General features: G+C 51.2%; 1 pseudogene across 1 annotated transcript; it reads right to left on the bottom strand.

The window, feature by feature from the left end:
- Positions 1-419: 419 nt before the first annotated feature.
- On the bottom strand, positions 420-6,233 carry CYP4F30P (cytochrome P450 family 4 subfamily F member 30, pseudogene; annotated as a pseudogene). Its single transcript, NR_023391.1, has 5 exons — positions 5,421-6,233; positions 4,685-5,029; positions 4,043-4,236; positions 2,755-2,922; positions 420-1,149 (listed from the first exon to the last, which is right to left on the bottom strand). The product of NR_023391.1 is annotated as a cytochrome P450 family 4 subfamily F member 30, pseudogene (transcript).
- Positions 6,234-19,147: the final 12,914 nt, after the last annotated feature.

Genomic DNA, 19,147 nt, shown 5'->3' with positions numbered 1-19,147 from the left:
CCACATGGTAATCTTGATTGGCCAATTTCTGTACTATATAAGGTTTTGGGAAGCAGAGATGGACAATGATGAGACAGAGTGGATATACTCAAAAAAAGACAAGGTTGTAGGGAGAATGCAGGAAAGGAAGGAAGGGGGTATCTTTGTAGAGCAGGTAGCAAAATTGGAAGTCAAAGTGTCCAGTGGCAGTGGTGAAAAGTGTTGACCAACCTCGGTTTGATGAAGGTGGCGTGAAAGTCAACTTAAACTTTTCACTGGGAAGCAGGATATTTCTGAGCCTAATGCTTATGGAGAATTGGCCTCTGTATTTCCCTCCAGACTTTCATGAGGCACCCGGCTTGGCCCAAACATGAGCCAGATGCTGAATGGCCTGCCAATGCCTGCCAATGTGAAAATTATTCAGTTTGGTTAAGAAACAATTTACTCATATTCTGGTTTGTATTTGAAGCCTGCTAATATCAAAGTACACAGAATTTTCATTTTTATGTCAGCTACTTAGATGTCATTTTGAAGCTGTGCCACGATGAAATTAAAAACACAGGCCGGGCACAATGGCTTATGCCTGTAATCCCAACACTTTGGCCAAGGTCAGGAGTTGGAGAACAGCCTGGCCAACATGGCGAAATCCCATCTCTACTAAAAACATAAAAATTAGCCAGGCACACTTGCGGGCACCTGGAATCCCAGCTACTCGGGAGGCTGAGGCAGGACAATAGCTGGAACCCAGGAGGCAGAGCCTGCAGTGAGCTGAGATCACCCATTGCACTCCAGCCTGGGAAACAAGAGCAAGACTCAATCTCAAACAAACAAACAAAAAGTACAAGTGCTAGAGTCAGCTTTCACCATTCCCCTAGAACAGATCATCTTTTTCAGTGTTAACAATGTGTTCTATAGCAGGAAGTCAAGACTACTGTCCAAGGTCTGACCTCCTTTGATATCTCCTGGAGGGCTGTGATGAGGGCCACTGCTGCTGGCTGTTGGGGTCTCCATTTCCCTGCTCTCACCCCTGCACCTTCAGGGCACACGCCACCTTTCCTTTTTTACATGGCAGACTAGCTGTGTCTTCTGGTGGCCACGTAGCTTCAGAAGTGTGGTTTTTAGTAGGTACAGATCTACTAGGAACTTTCATTCAATTAAAGCTTCTAGGAACTGAAAGACAACAGGAGACAAAGAGAGCAGGAGAAAGAGGAAGCATGGGGTATTAGAAGATAAATGATCCTCTTTTCAAATGAAGACTGCTTAATGAAAAGTCTCCTTAAGGCACAATTTCCCAAACTTGCCTGGTCATCAGTGTGAATTACACAAGGCCCCTGGGAAAAATCCAGACTCCTGGGTGCCATTTTAGAACCACTAAATACATCTGCAGAGGTAAGAGTCTGGATAATCTGTATTTTCAACATGGCCTGGAAATTCCAACTGTCAGGTAAATTAGGGAATCACTAATTTAAAAGAAGTCCACTCCATCAACTTAAGTCGTTAAGATTTGAATATATCAGGATTAGCTCTCAAAAACACATTGCTTCTTGGAGTAAACATTTCAACAGAATTGAATTTTAAAATTATTAAATCCCCTAATGCTATCCCTCCCCCACTCCCCTAGCCCCCCACCCACTGACAGGTTCTGGTATGTGATGTTCCCCTCCCTGTGTCCATTTGTTCTCATTGTTCAGCTCCCACTTATGAGTGAGAACATGTGGTGTTTGTTTTTCTGTTTCTGTGTTCGTTTGCTGAGAATGATGACTTCCAGCTTCATCTATGTTCCTGCAAAGGACATGAACTCATCCTTTTTTATGGCTGCAGAGTATTCCATGGTGTATAGGTGCCACATTTTCTTTATCCAGTCTATCACTGATGGGGATTTGGGTTGGTTTCAAGTCTTTGCTATTGGGAACAGTGCCGCAATAAACATATGTGCGCATGTGTCTTTATAGTAGAATGATTTATAATCCTTTGGGTATATACCCAGTAATGGGATTGCTGGGTCAGATGTATTTCTGGTTCTGGATCCTTGAGGAATCACTACACTGTCTTCCACAATGGTTGAACTAATTTACACTCCCACCAACAGTGTAAAAGCGTTCCTATTTCTCCACATCATAATGTAGCACCGAATGTAGATGAGTGCCTAATGTAGATGAGAGGTTGATGGGTGCAGCAAACTACCATGTCATGTGTATACCTATGTAACAAACCTGCACGTTCTCCACATGTATCCCAGAACTTAAAATATAATAATAAAAAAGATTGAAAATTTAAAATTTTAATACAAAATTAGGACTTAGTTATTTGCAAAATACACTGTATTTTCAATTTGAAAAACAAAGGGTTATTGTATGTATTATCAATAAAGTTATATAGTTTCTCATAAAAATAACATTAATAATGGAAAATTCTAAAAGAAAAATAATTAAATTTATTTTAGGACAATTTAAAAATGTATCTGTCAATTTTAACATGAAAATTCTCTTACATTTATACATCCCACATTCTAATAAGGACTAATTTTTATGAGCAGTAAAGAAATGTGTGTATGCGTGTCTGTATACTTACAGGTATATATCTGTTTCTGTGAAAATCTCTCTTTTAGAGTCAGAAAATCTGTTTGGTCCCAGTTCTTACTAATAATATATGATCTCACTAAAGATACTTAAATTCAATAAACTCAATAAACTTTACTCTTAATGAGGTAAGAATGAGAACACAGGTGCCAGCCATGAGCTGCGGTTCCACTGGCACAGGCTTCAGAGATCCTACCTTTAACATCCTCCTTTCATTCATTTGAGCCTGATAAGAAAGTTGTCTCTTGGGAGAGAAGCAAGCATACACCTTGGGGCCAGACAGCCCACGGTCAAAGTTGAACTCCACCACTGTTCAGCTGTGTGACTTTGGGCAAGTGACTTTTCCTCTCTGATCCTCATGATCCTTTTTGGTAAAAACAGCAGAATGACAGGTCTATGAAGATTGGAGGAAAGAAAAATGTGTGTCTTAGTTTAAGTTTCCTGGAAGTAGATCCTGAGGCAAAGATTCAAGTATAAAAATTTTATCTGGAGATGACTCCAGGACAGTAATTCTACTGCCAGTTCTTCCTTAGAGTACTAATTGCAGGCAACACCAGTAGAGGAGTGGGGAACTGAGACAGGAATGGAATGTAGCAGTTAAAGGGACCTTCATCAAGAAAGTTTCCACTGTGGGCAGCCAGGACTCAGCCCTGCCGGGTACCTCTGAGAGACAGCATAGAACATGTGCCTCAGAGTCATCCCACCCAGAGCAAGGGAGCTGGGTTATTTATCCACCAATACACACCAGTCACTCCTCAGGGCTTCTTCCAAGGACATGATTCCTCCAGAATGCCCTGCCTGCACTGCAAGAATGAGACCTGGAGGGTCAATGGCAAGAGCCCTGACAGCGCCTCCAGCAGTGAGCAGGACCACAGCCTGGTGTGGAGAGTTTCAGTCCCTCAGTGACCCGAACACACACACACACACACACACACACACACACACACACATTCTCTCTCTCTCACAAACACACACACACACACATTCTTTCTCTCTCACACACACACACCATACTCCAACACCAACAGAGAACATACATACATACACATACAAGCATAGATGACTGTTACCCACTTACATCCTGGTGAATCCATGGGAAAGAAGATAAGGTGGGAATCAGAGGGAAAAGCAAAATTAAGGGGAGTGAGGGTCTTGGGAACAAAATGAAAATATAGGCAGAAAATCAAGGGGGAAGAGTGGTCTGGACACCAAACGCCTGCTGGCTGGCACCTGCTCTACATACACTGTCAGTCATTCTCCAAGCAACCTCGTGGAGTCGAAGGAATTCCCCTCAATTAGAGATGGCAGAAATGTAGTTCAGAAAAGAAAACTGATTTTACTAACTGATTTTACTGCTTCTGGGTTCTGCTCCTTTTCTTGCTAGGCAATCATGACAGAATTGACAAAAACATTTTCCCCCTTCACCACCTGGAGCAGAGCCAATGAGAGGGGCTGGGGAACAGGCCATGAGGCCCTGCACCCACCATTCAATGTCTTCAGGATTAGGACTCTTGCATCACAGGCTGGCAGCACTCCCGATGTCTGGGTGTTTTGTGAGGTTGTACAGGATCTAGTAGAGGCCACTGGCTCTGCTGTCATATCCTAAGAGGCAGCCAGGCAGACTTGGGTCTCTTGGCTGCTTCAGCACCAGAGGATGAACAGCGCCCATACACTGAGGCTTTCGGGAGAATGGGAGGAGGGAAAGGAAGGGCAGAATGGAGTGATGTAGGGTCCATCCATCATATCCCTGGATGGAGAGACCCCTGTTCCCACAGTAGTCCCACACCGGGACCACCACCAGCACTCATGAATATGCCAGCCTCCATTTATATGTCCTCGTCTGACAACTCCTTCCCATTTTCATCCTGGAGGCAAGACTCTGAACACACTAGCTCTGAGGACACCTGTGTGTAACCTGAGACAGTCCCTGAAGACCTTTCATCCAAGCAGGATCCCTCCCTCACCATCTCCAGACCTGCCCCACAAGCTCCCTCCCTGGTCTCCTGGCTCTTGTTCACTCCTTCCAGGCAGGCTTCTACAGTCATCTCGAAAACATAGCTGACTGTCACTCCTTTATCCAGCATCTTCCATGGCTCCCCAGAGCCCTCCAGATCAAGTTCAAGTACCTTGATCAGACACTTGATCTCAAGCTCCATTCTACCTCCTGAATTAAGATCCCGGAGAAGCCACCTTGCTCAGCACAAGCGCATCAATGAAGTCCGAAGCCTTGAATGTGGCCTTGGCCTTGAGGAAGTCATCAACACCCTGGCTAGTGAGGGTGCGGTGCTGCTGCAAGATGATGGTGTCTGAAGTTGTGCACCAAGTCACAGGCCCTGCAGAAGCATTGCCCCTCAGGAATGGGTAGTACAGGAAGTCCCAGCACAGGCAGATCTGCTGACGCCGTTACACTATGAGGGTACTGAGCTCCAAGATGTCAGCAATAAGTTCACTGGCATTCCTGCAGGGTGAGGCTAGGGAGAGGAAGCAGCTCCGTAACACATATGAAACTCTGGAAGCCCTTCCCAGCCAAAATCTCTGGACCACATTACACCCAGAAATGGGTGCCCTCTCAGCACACTTCTCTCTGCCTCCCTCTCTGAGCTGCCTCCTGGCCCCACATGCCCCAGCCTGGACCAGGGCTTGGAGCCCAGCAGGTGTTCAGTTCATGGTGTTGACTGCTTCCTGGCACAGGAGAGCCTTTGGTAGCTCTGTGACTCCTCCTGTGGAACCCCTGCCTCTGCCTCAGGACCTCCCTATTCCCATGGGAAGACCCCAAGGATTGCCCCACCTGCCCAGGGATCCTCCAACCCCATAGGCCTTACTTGATGCCTTATCCCTCCCAGAACATGACATGTTTCTCACAAGGTGACTTATTTCCAAGGCCATCTGTGGATGTTTGCTGGGGACCTCTTGCTCTTCTCCTTTATGATCTGTAGGGCAGGGCCAAGAGGAGAAACCAGCCCAACCTCAGAACAAACAAAGGCTCACTGCCACAAATGGCAACCACCAAACAGTCAGCAGTGCTTCTGGGAGGAAAGGAGGTTTCATTCCGCACAAAGCTCCTTGTTTGGTTTCTTTCTGAATCCGGGGAGGGGTAGGTACCAAGCCCAGCTTACCTGTGGTGTCTACATTACCATCTGTGCCTAGGATGTGCAAAGGGCCCCTGCTCCCACCGAAGGGTTGACGTTCCCTCCAGCTGGAGACCTGGGCTCCTGACACCGCCTGGCCTGTTTGTCCTGCTCTGGATGAGCATGGAAAGGCTGTACCTGGTATTTCCCTAGGTCCTTGGTTTCTACCACCTAGACATCCAGCAGGAGTGACCATGTCTAGCACCACACCTGAAAGGGGACTCCCTTGTACAGCAGCCCAGACATCTACAGATGGAAGAGTGCTCAGTGAGACAGGCCACAGGGGTCCCCAGGGAGGATCAGGGGGTGGAGGATTCTGGAGGTTTCCAGCCTTGGGCTCTGTGGTTCCTCAAAGAGGTTAGGTCTACCTAGTACCAGGCCTCCCCTCCCACGATTCAAAGACTGAATGAGTGTCCAGCATCAGGAACTCTGTTCTGGACCTGTTTTTTCATTTAGGTCACCAAGGGACAACCCCTAACCCCTGAGCTAGGGATGGTCCAAGCTCTGGCATGAGATTTTCCTCCAGCAATGTGATGCTTACAGGGACAGGTAGAAAAGCTGGTGACCAGGCCTGCTGTCCTCTGGGTAAGGAGTGTGCCACCCACCCTCTGAGATGCAGGTGGTGCCAGGCCACAGCACTGGGTGCCTGTACCCCTGGCTCTGCAGACACCGGTCATGGAGGTCCCTCCCTCCACATTACCTTCTTGCTGCTCCTAGATTTCTTCTAGTCATTAAGCACTTTGAGTCACTTTTCTGTGCATCCAATTTTACATTTTTGCTCTCAGATGAAACAGAATAAAGTATGCTGAGCTGCCAGGATTCCTGGAGGGGACCTTGGATGCTGAGTCTTGGGATCCAGGGCCCTGATGGGACTGAACCAGAAGGAGCCAGGGAAGGACAAAGATTGGGGCTGAGCCCCTATGATTTGGGGCTCAGCCCCCAATGGCCATTGGTGGGCTGGCCTTATGGTCCCAAGACACCTTGTCCTCAGGCCAGAGGCACCATGGGCTTTGGTCGGGTCCCAGCCTCCCAGTAGTGTCCTGGCACTAGCAGGAGCTGACCCCTGAGCCACAACTGCAGTTCTGGGTTTGGGGTTTGGTAAAACCACCTCAAGGACAGAGTCTTGGGATCGGGTTTGCCAGGAACCATGGTGCCTCCCAGAGATGGTGTGTCACTCCCACTCGCCACGAAATGTGCACACAGGCTGTCCCCATGTCCATCCCATCCCGCTGGACAGGATGGAGGAAGTCAGGGAACAGGCATGGTGGACAGCTGGGGTGCAGGGAGAGGCAGGTGCATGCTGGGAGGTCAGGCCCTGCGAGGGCTGTGGAGGCATCAGGTGGAGCGGGCTCCAGGTGCACCTTCAGTGTACTGGGCACGTCTGAGGCCAGGCTCACTGGACCCTGGATGTGTGATGTGGTCAATCACTGGGGGAATGTTGTCAGGTCCCAGACACCCACCCTGGGCAGCACTGTCTCATCTCAGGACTGGACTTTCTGAGTCCTAAGACAAGACAGTGCTGCCCAGGCCTGACAGCCTGGGAGGACCTGTTACGTCCTCCATCCCTAGACTAGCCTCCCAACAGCAGGGACAGTCTCTTATCTTCACCTTCAGGGAACTGACTGATCCATCTCACTCTAAGCCAATCGAGGCAGAGCTGAGGACCTGCACCAGTCTGGGAGCCAGTCCCCTCCCCAAATGGGCCTGAGGGAAGCACCATCCCTGTCCCAATCTGCCACAAGTTTCAGCCCAGGAGACACATGGGGAAGGGAGGACGGGGCATCCCTGCTGGCTGACACTGGAAAAGTGGGACCTGGGAGAATGGGGAGCACAAGGCTGGCAGGGGATGCTCCAGGCCCATGGAGAGCTCAGGCTGCACCATGGGGTTGCCCCTCCTGGGTGGAGGCTGTGCCCTCTACAGGATCTGAGGAAGTCCAGTCCTGAGATGGGACAGCGCTGCCCAGGGTAGGTAGCCGGGACCTGAGAGCAGTCCCCCAGGGAGTGACCACATCACCTGGCTGGGGTCCAGGGAGCTTGGGGTGAGACCCACCCAGTGCACTGAGGGTGCACCTGGAGCCCAACCCACCTGACACCCTCACAGCCTTCACAGGGTCTGACGTCCCACCATGCACCTACCTCTCCCTGCACCGCACTGCCCACCCTGCCTGTTCCCTGGCTTTCTCCATCCTGTGCAGCCCATAGACTGTGACCATCTCTCCAGACACTCTGACCCTTTCTTCACCTTTGTCCTGTCAGAATCTCTGAGCAACATCTCCCAGGTCCATCCAAACAACTGCTTTGTCCACTTTTGACCAGGCCGTTGGGCATCACTGGGCCATCCCAGCTGTCCAGAGGGCCCTCGATAACGTGCAATGCACCTGGCTTCTCCAAGCAGCACTCAGCAGTCCCCACTGACCAGGTTCCTGCTGACCAGACCCCACACATCAGGTCTTCCCTGACCACACCCTCACTGATTAGATCCCCATCACCAGGACCCACTAACAAGACCCCTGCTTCCAGGCCAACAATGACCATGACTCCACTGACCAGGACCTTACTGACAAGGCCTCATGGACAAGGCCTCACTGAACAGGACCTTACTGACCAGGCCTCCCTGACAAGGCCTCACTGACCAGGTCCTTACTGACCAGGCCTCACTGACAAGGCCTCACTGACAAAGTCCTTACTAACAAGGCCTCACTGACCAGGACCTTATTGACAAGGCCTCATGGATGAGCTCCTTACTGACAAGTCCTCACTGACCAGGACCTTATTGACAAGGCCTCACGGACCAGGTCCTTACTGACAAGTCCTCACTGACCAGGACCTTATTGACAAGGCCTCACTGACCAGGTCCTTACTGACAAGGCCTCACTGACAAGGCCTCATGGACCAGGTCCTAACTGAGACCTCACTGATCAGGACCTTATTGACAAGGCCTCACTGACCAGGTCCTTACTGACAAGGCCCCACTGACAAGGCCTCACTGACAAGGTCATTACTGACAAGGCATCACTGATCAGATTCCACTGATCATGACCCCACTACCTGGCCCCACAGATGAGGCCCCACTGACCAGGCCTCCAGGGAACAGGCTGCCACTGATCAGGCCCCTACTAACCAGGCCTGAGGTGAGCAGATGCCCCTGACTGGGACCCTAGTGAGTAGGCCCCACTGAACAGGCACCGACTGCTCAGGTCCCCGCTGACCAGGTCACCCCGTAGACCAGTGGTACAAAAGCCACCACTGACCAAGTCATCACTGACCAGGCCCCCACTGATGAGGTTCCACTGACCAGGCTGCCCTGATCAGGGCCCCACTGACAAGGGCCTCACTGATGAGGACAAGCCCACCAGGCCCTGCTGACTAGGTCCCATGTGACCAGTCCTCCACTGAATAGCAGCCCTTGACCTGGTCACCAGTGACCCAGCCCATGCTGACCAGGCCACCACTAAGCCCAGCTGACCAGGTCGCCACTGGTCAAGCCCCACAGCCCAGGTCTGCACTGACCAGACACCAAACAACTGGCTGCCAATAGGTCCCCACTCGCCAAAACCCCCACTACTGGATCCCCCTAATGAGACCCTCCCTAAGCAGACCCCTGCTGGCCAGGCTCCCACTAAACAGGCCTCACTGACCAAGTCCCAACTGACTAGGTCCACTGAGCAGGCCCACACTGATCAGGCCCCTCCTAACCACATCAGAAGGCCAAGTGGCAATGAGATGTTTCATATGGCAGAAATAGAAGCAAGACACAGAGAGAAAAGAGGTGCCACAGCCCATTATACAACCAGATCACATGAGAACTCACTATCAGATCAGCATCAAGAAGATTAACCACTGGTGAAGGATCCACCACACACACCACCGCCTACTGTTTCCAGGCAGAAGCCTCCTGCAGAGGCAGAGCCTCTTGGGAAACTTCTACTATGGCAGTGCAGAAGGGAAATATGGGCTTGGAGCCCCCACACAGGAGGCCACCATCCTCCAGACCCCAGATTCATAAGCCCACCAACAGCCCGCACCCTCAGTATGCAAAAGCACTCAACACCAGCCCAGCCCATGAGAGCAGCCATGGGGGCTAAAGCCTGCAAAGCCACAGGAGCACTGCCCTAGCAGAGGTTTTCCATAAGGATGTGACTCTGCAGCAGGCTACTCCCGCTTCCTAATACCCACCATCCTCTCACCACCCTACTGACAACCCACTCCTCCCAACACTATCCACTTTATTTCCTTCCAATTCCAACCCCCTCCCATCCATGGTTAAATCACCTTCCACCAGGCCCCATCTCCAACATTCAAGATTACAATTCACATGAGTTTCTGTAGGGAAACACAGCCAAACCATGTTATTCTGACCCTGACCCCTCCGAATCTCATGTCCTTCTCACAGAGCAAAATACAATCACACCTTTTCAAAAGTTGCCAAAAGTCTTAACTCATTCCAGCATTAACTCAAATGTAAAAGGTTCAACGTCTCATCTGAGACAAGCCTACAGTCCCTTTTGCCTATAAGTCCCTGAATTTAAAAGGGTGTTCTTTTAAGACACAATGATGGTACACCCATTGGGTAAGCTTTCTCAGTCCAACGGGAAGAAATTTCCCAGCAAAATAACACAGATGGGACCACAGGACCAATGCAAGTCCAAAACCCAGGAGACCAGTATCCATTCAATCTCACTGCTCCAAAATCATGAAGAGAACTCACCATCACAAGGACAGAAATAAGGAGATTGTGTCTAATCATTTGTGAAGGAGCCACCATCACTTTTCACCCCTCACCCCCAACATAATCTCCCCATTCTCCCTATCCCCCACCTCCCAACCCCCACTCTCCACCATGATTAAATCACCTTCCACCAGGCCCCACCTTTAACATTCCCCATTACAATTCCACACGAATTTTGGTAGGGACACAGAGCTAAATTTTATTATTCTCTCCCTGGCTCCCCAAATCTCATGTCCTTCTCACATTGCAAACTACAATGATAGCTTCCCTACAGTCCCCCAAAGTCTTATATCATTTCATCATTTATACAAATGTTCAAAGCTTAAAGTCTCATCTAACACAAGGCTGCAGACCCTTAGGCTCATGAGCCTCTGAAATATAAAGAAAGTTAACTACTTCCAAGGTACAATGCTTATACAGGCAATGGGTAAGCATTCCCAGCCAAAAGGAATAATTTTGCCAGAAAGAACAAAACACAGAAAGGACTCACAGGCCCCATGAAACTCCAAACCCAGAAGGCCAGTCATTCAATCCTACAGCTCCAAAATTACCCTTTTTGAAACCTTGTCCCACATCCAGGGCACAGGGATGTAAGGGCTGGGCTCCCAAGGCCTTGGGCAGCTCTGCACCTGTGGCTTTGCAGGGTTTATACCCCACGGCTGTCTTCATGGGCTGGGCTGGTGTTGAGCGCCTGTAGCTTTTACCCACTGACGGTACAAGCTGTTGCGGGGTCTATTAATCTGCGGTCTTCATGATGGTGGCCTCCAGTGTGGGGGCTCCAACCCCATATTTTCCTTCTGCACTGCCCTAGTAGAGGTTTCTTATGAGGTTCTGCCTTTTAGGAAGGCTTTTGCCTAGACACCCAGACATTTCCATACATCCTCCAAAATCTATACAGAGCCTCCCAAGCCCCTAGGCTCATGCTCCATCCAACCAGTGGCTTAACACTATGAGGAAGTTCATGAGAACTCACTATCACGAGGTCAGCATCAAGAAGATGGTGCTTAATCATTAGTGAAGGATCCGTCCCCAACCCACCTCCACCCCCTCCTGTTTCCGGACAGAAGCCTGAGGCAGAGCCTGAGCCTCTTGGAAAACCTGTACTATGGCAGTGCAGAAGAAAAATTTGGGCTTGGAGCCCCTATGCAGGAGGTCACCATCCTCCAGAGCCCAGATTCATAGACCCATCAACAGCTCGCACCTTCAGTATGGAAAAGCTACCGGCACTCAACACCAGCCCAGCCCATGAGAGCAGCCACGGGGGCTACACCCTGCAAAGCCACAGGTGCACAGTCCTAGCAGAGGTTTTCTACGAGCCTCTGCCTCTGCAGCAGGCTACTCCTCCTTCCTACTACCCCCACCCTCCCACCACCCTACAGCGAGCTTACTCCTCACCACGCTACCCACCTCTTTTTCCCTCCAACCCCACCCACCTCCCATCCATGATTAAATCACCTCCCACCAGGCTCCACCTCCAACATTCGGGATTGCAATTCCACATGAGTTTTTCTAGGGAAACACAGCCAAACCATATTATTCTGACCTTGACCCCCTCCCCCGAATCTCATGTCATTCTCACAGAGTAAAATACAGTCATGCCTTTTCAAATGTTTACAAAAGCCTTAACTCATTCCAGCATTAACTCAAATGTAAGAAGTTCAAAGTCTTATCTGATACAAGGCTACGGTCTCTTCTGCCAAGGAGTCCCTGAACTTAAAATGGAGTTCTTTTAAGGTACGATGATGGTACAGGCATTGGGTAAGCTTTCTCACTCCAAAGGGAAGAAATTTCCCAGAAAAATAACACAAATGGGACCACAGGCCCAATGCACATCCAAAACCCAGCAGGCCAGTATTCAAATCTCAAAGCTCCTAAACCATGAAGCAAACTCACTATCAGAAGGACAGCATTACAAAGATGGTGTTTAACCATTTGTGAAGAATCTGCCCCCCACCTCTGCCTTTCCCTGCAACCCCAACACAATCACCCCCAATGCTCCCAACCACCCCCACCTTCCAAACTCCACTCTCCACCATGATTAAATCACCTTCCACCAGTCCCCACCTTTAACTTTGCCCATTACAATTCCACATGAGCTTTGGTAGGGACACAGAGCCAAATCATATTATTCTGTCCCTGGTCCCCCAAATCTCCTGTTTCTTACATTGCAGAATACAATGATACCTTCCCTACAGTCCCCCAAATCTTAAATAATTCCAGCATTTACTCAAATGTCCAAAGCCCAAAGTCTCGTCTGAGACAAGGCTACAGTCCGATCTGCCCCTGAGTTTCTGAATTATAAAGCAAGTTAACTAATTCCAAGGCACAATGATTGTACAGGCAATGGGTAAGCATTCCCAGCCAGTAGAAAAAAAATGCCAGAAAGAAAAACAAAACACAGATGGGACTCACAGGATACATGAACATCCAAAACCCAGCAGGCCAGTCATTCAATCCGACAGCTCCAAAATCATCCTTTTTGAATCCTCGTCCCACATCCATGGCACAGGGCTGTGAGGGCTGGGCTCCCAAGGCCTTGGGCAGATCTGTACCTGTGGCTTCGCAGCGTTCAGCACCCACAGCTGCCTCTCATGGACAGGGCTGTTTTGAATGCCTGTAGCTTTTCCACACTGAGGGTGCAAGATGTTGGTGGGTCTATGAATCTGGGGTTTGGAGAATGGAGCCTCCCTGTGAGGGGGCTTCAACCCTACATGGCCCTTCTTTGCTGCCCTAGCAGAGGTTTTCCATGAGCCTCTTGGAAAGGCTACTGCCTGGACACCCAGGCTTTTCTCTACATCCTCTGGAGTCCAGACAAGAGGCTCCAAAGCCTCTAGTCTCTTGCTCTCTTCACCTGCTGCCTTAACACTATGTGGAAGCCATCAAGGCTTGGAGCCACATCTGAAGTAGTGACCCAAGCTGTACCTGTGCATCATTCAGCCATGGCTGGAGCTGGGGCTGCAGGGATGCAGGCAGCAGTGTCCTGAGGATGCACACAGCAGCAGGGCCATGGAGCTGGCCCAGGAAGCCATTCTTCTCTGCTAGGCCCCAGGGCCTGTGAGAGCAAGAGCTACTGCAAAGGTCTCTGAAATGCCTCCAAGGCCTTTTACCCTTTGTCTTGGATACTTGCACTAAGCTCCTTTTTATGCAAATACTCTAAGCCGTATTGAATTTTCCCCCTGAAAATCAGCTTTTCTTTTTGACCACTTGACTAGGCTGCAAATTTTCCAAACTTTTGAGCTCTGCTTCTCATTTAAGTAGAAGTTCCAATTTGAGGTCATTTCTTAGCTCATACATAACAACACAGGCTGTTCGACGCAGACAGGACACCTCTTGAGCTATGCTGCTCAGATGTTCATTCCACAAGATACATCCTAAATCATCACCCCCAAGTTCATAGTTTCACAGATCTCCAGGGCAAGGTCACTGTGCAGCCTCTGTTGGGCAAATCAAATGTAGTATTGGCTCCTATTCACAGGAAATTCCTGGTTTTCATCCGAGAACTTTTAAGTCTGGCCTTCACTGTCCATCCTTCTGTCAGCCTTCTGATCACAAGTATTTAACAATTCTCTACAGTGGTCCAAGCTTTTCCTCATCTTGCTGTCTTTTAAGCTTTCCCAACTCTCCCGACCTCTGTCTTTTACCCACTACTGAACCTGCTTCTACATTATCAGCTCTCTGTGTCACAGCCTGGCAATGTGGTAAAAGAAGAAAAGTCCATTTTCAGGGAAAAAAATCACATAGGCTTCAGATATTTGCATGAAAAGAAGCTGAGTGCTGCTTGCCAAGACAATGGGGAAAAGGCCTTGAAGGCATTTCATAGGGAAAAGGCCTTGAAGGAATTTCATAGCTTCACTTCACAGTACTAACCTTCTGTATGATCAAAAAGAAAAGAGGTTTCATTGGCTCACAGTTCTGCAGGCTGCAAAGGAAGCATAGTGGTTTCTGCTTCTGGGAGGACTCAGGTGCTCCCAATCATACTAGAAGACCAAGCGGCAAGGAGATGTTTCATACAGCAGGAGAAGGAGCAAGACAGAGAGAGGAAAGAAGTGCCACATCATGTTATACAAGCAGATCTCATGAGAACTCACTATCACGAGGTCAGCATCATGAAGATGCTGTTTAACCATTGGTGAAGGCTTCCACCCTGCAAAACTACCTCCCATTGTTTCCAGGCAGAAGCATGCTGCAGAGGCAGAGCTTCTTCGGAAACCTCTGTGAGGCCAGTGCAGAAGGAAAATATGGGCTTGGAGGACTAACACAGGGAGCCACCACCATCCAGACCACAGGCGCACCCTTGCAGAGGTGACTGGTTGCTCTTTGAGCCAGCTTGGCCTTGCCTGGCATGCACAGGCCCCAGGTAGCAACATGCTGCTCCGAGTGAGCTTGTCCTGCCTTGACACAAATTCTAAGTCTGGCCAGGGCCACAGAAGGCCGAGTCCCCTAGATGCTAATCCTGGCTACTTTCTGCACTTGAACATGAAGTCCTCCTCAAGACGGCCTGTGGTCTGCCTCTTGGCAACTAAGAAGCCCGCAGTGCCATATGACGCCTGAGGCATGGACTGAAGCCCCAAAGGCAGCGCACACCCTGCTCCTGAGCCTGCTGCTTGTTTCCTCTCTGTGGCTCCATTTGTAGCACTGTTGTTGCACTGAGGCTTGTGCATGCCAGGCAAGGCCAAGCTGGCTCAAAGAGCAACCAGTCACCTCTGCAAGGGTGTGCCAGGAGCCGGTGCACCAGCCACCAACCTCACTTGCTGCCAGACATGGCACATCAGTACTTCTACCCTAAAGGTAGGGCCACAAGGCCATCTGCTTTTCCTAAGGCCTCTGCTCCATCAGCCATCAGGAGACAGCCACTCAGGCTGTTGGAACCTGGCCATCCCGGCTTCCTTCAGTGGGTGAAGCTGGTGGCTGGTCCAACTGGTCCAGGCGCACCCTTGTAGAGGTGGCTGGTTCTGCTTTCAGCCAGCTTGGCCTTGCCTGGCATGCACAGGCCCCAGGTACTAACACGCTGCTCCAAGTGAGCTTGTCCTGCCTTGGCACAAATTCTAAGTCTGGCCAGGGCCACAGAAGGCCGAGTCCCCTGAGTGGTAATCCTGGCTGCTTTCTGCACTTCAACATAAAGTCTTCCTCAAGACAGCCTGTGGTCTGCCTCTTGGCAACCAAGAAGCCCACAGTGCCATAGGACCCGAGGCATAGACTGGAGCCCCAAAGGCAGCGCACACCCTGCTCCTAAGTCTGCCACTCGTTTCCTCTCTGTGGCTCCATTTGTACCACTGTTGTTGCACTGAGGCTTGTGCATGCCAGGCAAGGCCAAGCTGGCTCAAAGAGCAACCAGTCACTTCTGCAAGGGTGCGCCAGGAGCCGCTGCACCAACCACCAACCTCACTTGCTACCGGACATGGCACATCAGTACTTCTACCCTAAAGGTAGGGCCACAGGGCCATCTGCTTTTCCTAAGGCCTCTGATCCATCAGCCATCAGGAGACAGCCACTCAGGCTCTTGGAACCTGGCCATCCCTGCTTCCTTCAGTGGCTGAAGTTGGTGGCTGGTCCACCTGATCCTGGCACACCTTTGCAGAGGTGGCTGGTTGCTCTTTGAGCCAGCTTGGACCTGCCTGGCATGCATAGGCCCCAGGTACAAACACGCTGCTCCGAGTGAGCTTGTCCTGCATTGGCACGAATTCTGAGTCTGCCAGGGTCACAGAAGGCCAAGTCCCCTGGAAGGTTATCCTGGCTGCTTTCTGCACTTGAACATAAAGTCCTCCTCAAGACGGCCTGTGGTCTGCCTCTAGGCAAGCAAGAAGCCCGCAGTACTATACGACCCGAGGCATGGACTGGAGCCCCAAAGGCAGCGCACACCCTGCTCCTGACCCTGCTGCTCGTTTCCTCTCTGTGGCTCCGTTTGTAGCACAGTTGTTGCACTGAGGCTTGTGCATGCCAGGGAAGGCCAAGCTGGCTCAAAGAGCAACCAGCCACCTCTGCAAGGGTGTGCCAGGAGCAGGTGCACCACTCACCCACTAGCGGCCGGACATGGTACATCAGTTCTTCTACCCTAAAGGTGGGCCACAGTGCCATCTGCTTTTCCTAAGGCTTCTGCTCCATCAGCAATTAGGTGGCAGCCAAGGCAGGACAAGCTCACTCGGAGCAGCATCTTAGTACCTGGGGCCTGTGCATGCCAGGGAGGCCAAACTGACTCAAAGAGCAACCAGCCACCTCTGCAAGGTCTGGCCAGGGCTACAGAAGGCCCCCCTGGATGGTAATCCTGGCTGCTTTCTGTACTTGAACATAAAGTCTTCCTCAAGACGGCCTGTAGTCTGCCTCCAGGCAAGCAAGAAGCCCGCAGTGCTATACGACTCAAGGCAGGGACTGGAGCCCCAAAGGCAGCGCACACCCTGCTCCTGAGCTTGCTGCTCGTTTCCTCTCTATGGCTCCATTTGTAGCACTGTTGTTGCACTGAGGCTTGTGCATGCCAGGCAAGGCCAAGCTGACTCAAAGAGCAACCAGTCACTTCTGCAAGGGTGCGCCAGGAGCCGGTGCACCAGCCACCAACCTCACTTGCTACCGGACATGGCACATCAGTACTTCTACCCTAAAGGTAGGGCCACAGGGCCATCTGCTTTTCCTAAGGCCTCTGCTCCATCAGCCATCAGGAGGCAGCCACTCAGGCTGTTGGAACCTGGCCATCCCAGCTTCCTTGAGTAGCTGAGGTTGCTGGCTGGTCCACCTGCTCCTGGCACACCCTTGCAGAGGTGGCTGGTTGCTCTTTGAGCCAGCTTGGCCTTGCCTGGCATGCATAGGCCCAGCTACTGACACACTGCTCCAAGTGAGCTTGTCCTGCCTTGGCACAAATTCTGAGTGTGGCCAGGGCCACAGAAGGCTGAGTCCCTTGGATGGTAATCCTGGCTGCCTTCTGCACTTGAACATGAAGTCCTCCTCAAGACGGCCTGTGGTCTGCCTCTTGGCAACCAAGAAGCCTGCAGTGCCATACGACCCGAGGCATGGACTGGAGCCCCAAAGGCAGCACACACCCTGCTCCTAAGTCTGCCGCTCATTTCCTCTCTGTGGCTCCATTTGTAGCACAGTTGTTGCACTGAGACTTGTGCATGCCGGGCAAGGTACATCAGTTCTTCTACCCTGAAGGTAGGCCACAGTGCCATCTGCTTTTCCTAAGGCCTCTGCTCCATCAGCAATTAGGTGGCAGCCAAGGCAGGACAGGCTCACTCAGAGCAGCGTGTTAGTGCCTGGGGCCTGTGCATGCAAGGGAGGTGAAGCTGGCTCAAAGAGCAACCAGCCACCTCTGCAAGGTCTGGCCGGGGCCACAGAAGGCCGAGTCCCCTGGATGGTAATCCTGGCTGCTTTCTGCACTTGAACATAAAGTCCTCCTCAAGATGGCCTGTTTTCTGCCTCTAGGCAACCAAGAGGCCCGCAGTGCTATACGACTCGAGGCTTGGACTGGAGCCCCAAAGGCAGCGCACAGCCTGCTCCTGAGCCTGCTGCTCGTTTCCTCTCTGTGGCACATCAGTACTTCTCCCCTAAAGGTAGGGCCACTAGGGCCATCTGCTTTTCCTAAGGCCTCTGCTCCATCAGCCATCAGGAGGCAGCCACTCATGCTGTTAGAAACTGGCCATCCCAGCTTCCTTGAGTAGCTGAGGTTGCTGGCTGGTCCACCTGCTCTTGGCACACCCTTGCAGAGGTGGCTGGTTGCTCTTTGAGCCAGCTTGGCCTTGTCTGGCATGCATAGGTCCCAGCTACTGACACGCTGCTCCGAGTGAGCTTGTCCTGCCTTGGCACAAATTCTGAGTCTGGCCAGGGCCACAGAAGGCCGAGTCCCCTGGATGGTAATCCTGGCTGCTTTCTGCACTTGAACATAAAGTCCTCCTCGAGATGGCCTGTTGTGTGCCTCCTGGTAACCAAGAAGCCTGCAGTGTCATATGACCCCTGAGGCATGGACTGGAGCCCCAAAGGCAGCACACACCCTGCTGCTGAGCCCGCTGCTCATTCCCTCTCTGTGGCTCCATTTGTAGCAGAGTAGTTGCACTGAGGCTTGTGCATGCCGGGCAAGGCCAAGCTGGCTCAAACAGCAACCAGCCACATCTGCAAGGGTGTGCCAGGAGCAGCCGGACCAGCCACCAACCTCACTCGCCGCCGGACATGGTACATCGGTTCTTCTACCCTAAAGGTAGGGCCAAGAGGCAGACCACAGGCCGTCTTGAGGAGGACTTTATGTTCAAGTGCAGAAAGCAGCCAAGATTACCACCCAGGGGACTCGCCCTTCTGTGCTCCGCAGTGCCATACAAGCCTGAGGCATGGACTGGTGACATCTGCTTTATAGAAAAATTAACTTAAGATCCATTAAAGAGTTAAATGTGCCATCTGAGTTTCCTCAGGCCTCTGCTCCATCAGCCCCCAGGTGGCAGCCACTCAGGCTGTTGTAACCTGGCCATCCCTGCTTCCTTCAGTGGGTGAGGTTGGTGGCTGGTACAATTGGTCCAGGCGCACCCTTGCAGAGGTGCCTCGTTGCTCTTTGAGCCAGCTTGGCCTTGCCTGGCATGCACAGGCCCCAGGTACTAACACGCTGCTCCGAGTGAGCTTCTCCTGCCTTGACACAAATTCTAAGTCTGGACAGGGCCACAGAAGGCCAAGTCCCCTGGGTGGTAATCCTGGCTGCTTTCTGCACTTGAACATAAAGTCCTCCTCAAGACGGCCTGTGGTCTGCCTCTAGGCAAGCAAGA

Source organism: Homo sapiens, chromosome 2 (assembly GCF_000001405.40).
Source record: "Homo sapiens chromosome 2, GRCh38.p14 Primary Assembly".
NCBI lineage: Eukaryota > Metazoa > Chordata > Mammalia > Primates > Hominidae > Homo > Homo sapiens.
Note: the sequence above shows the minus strand (reverse complement) of the source record. Positions and strands in the feature narration are given on the sequence as shown.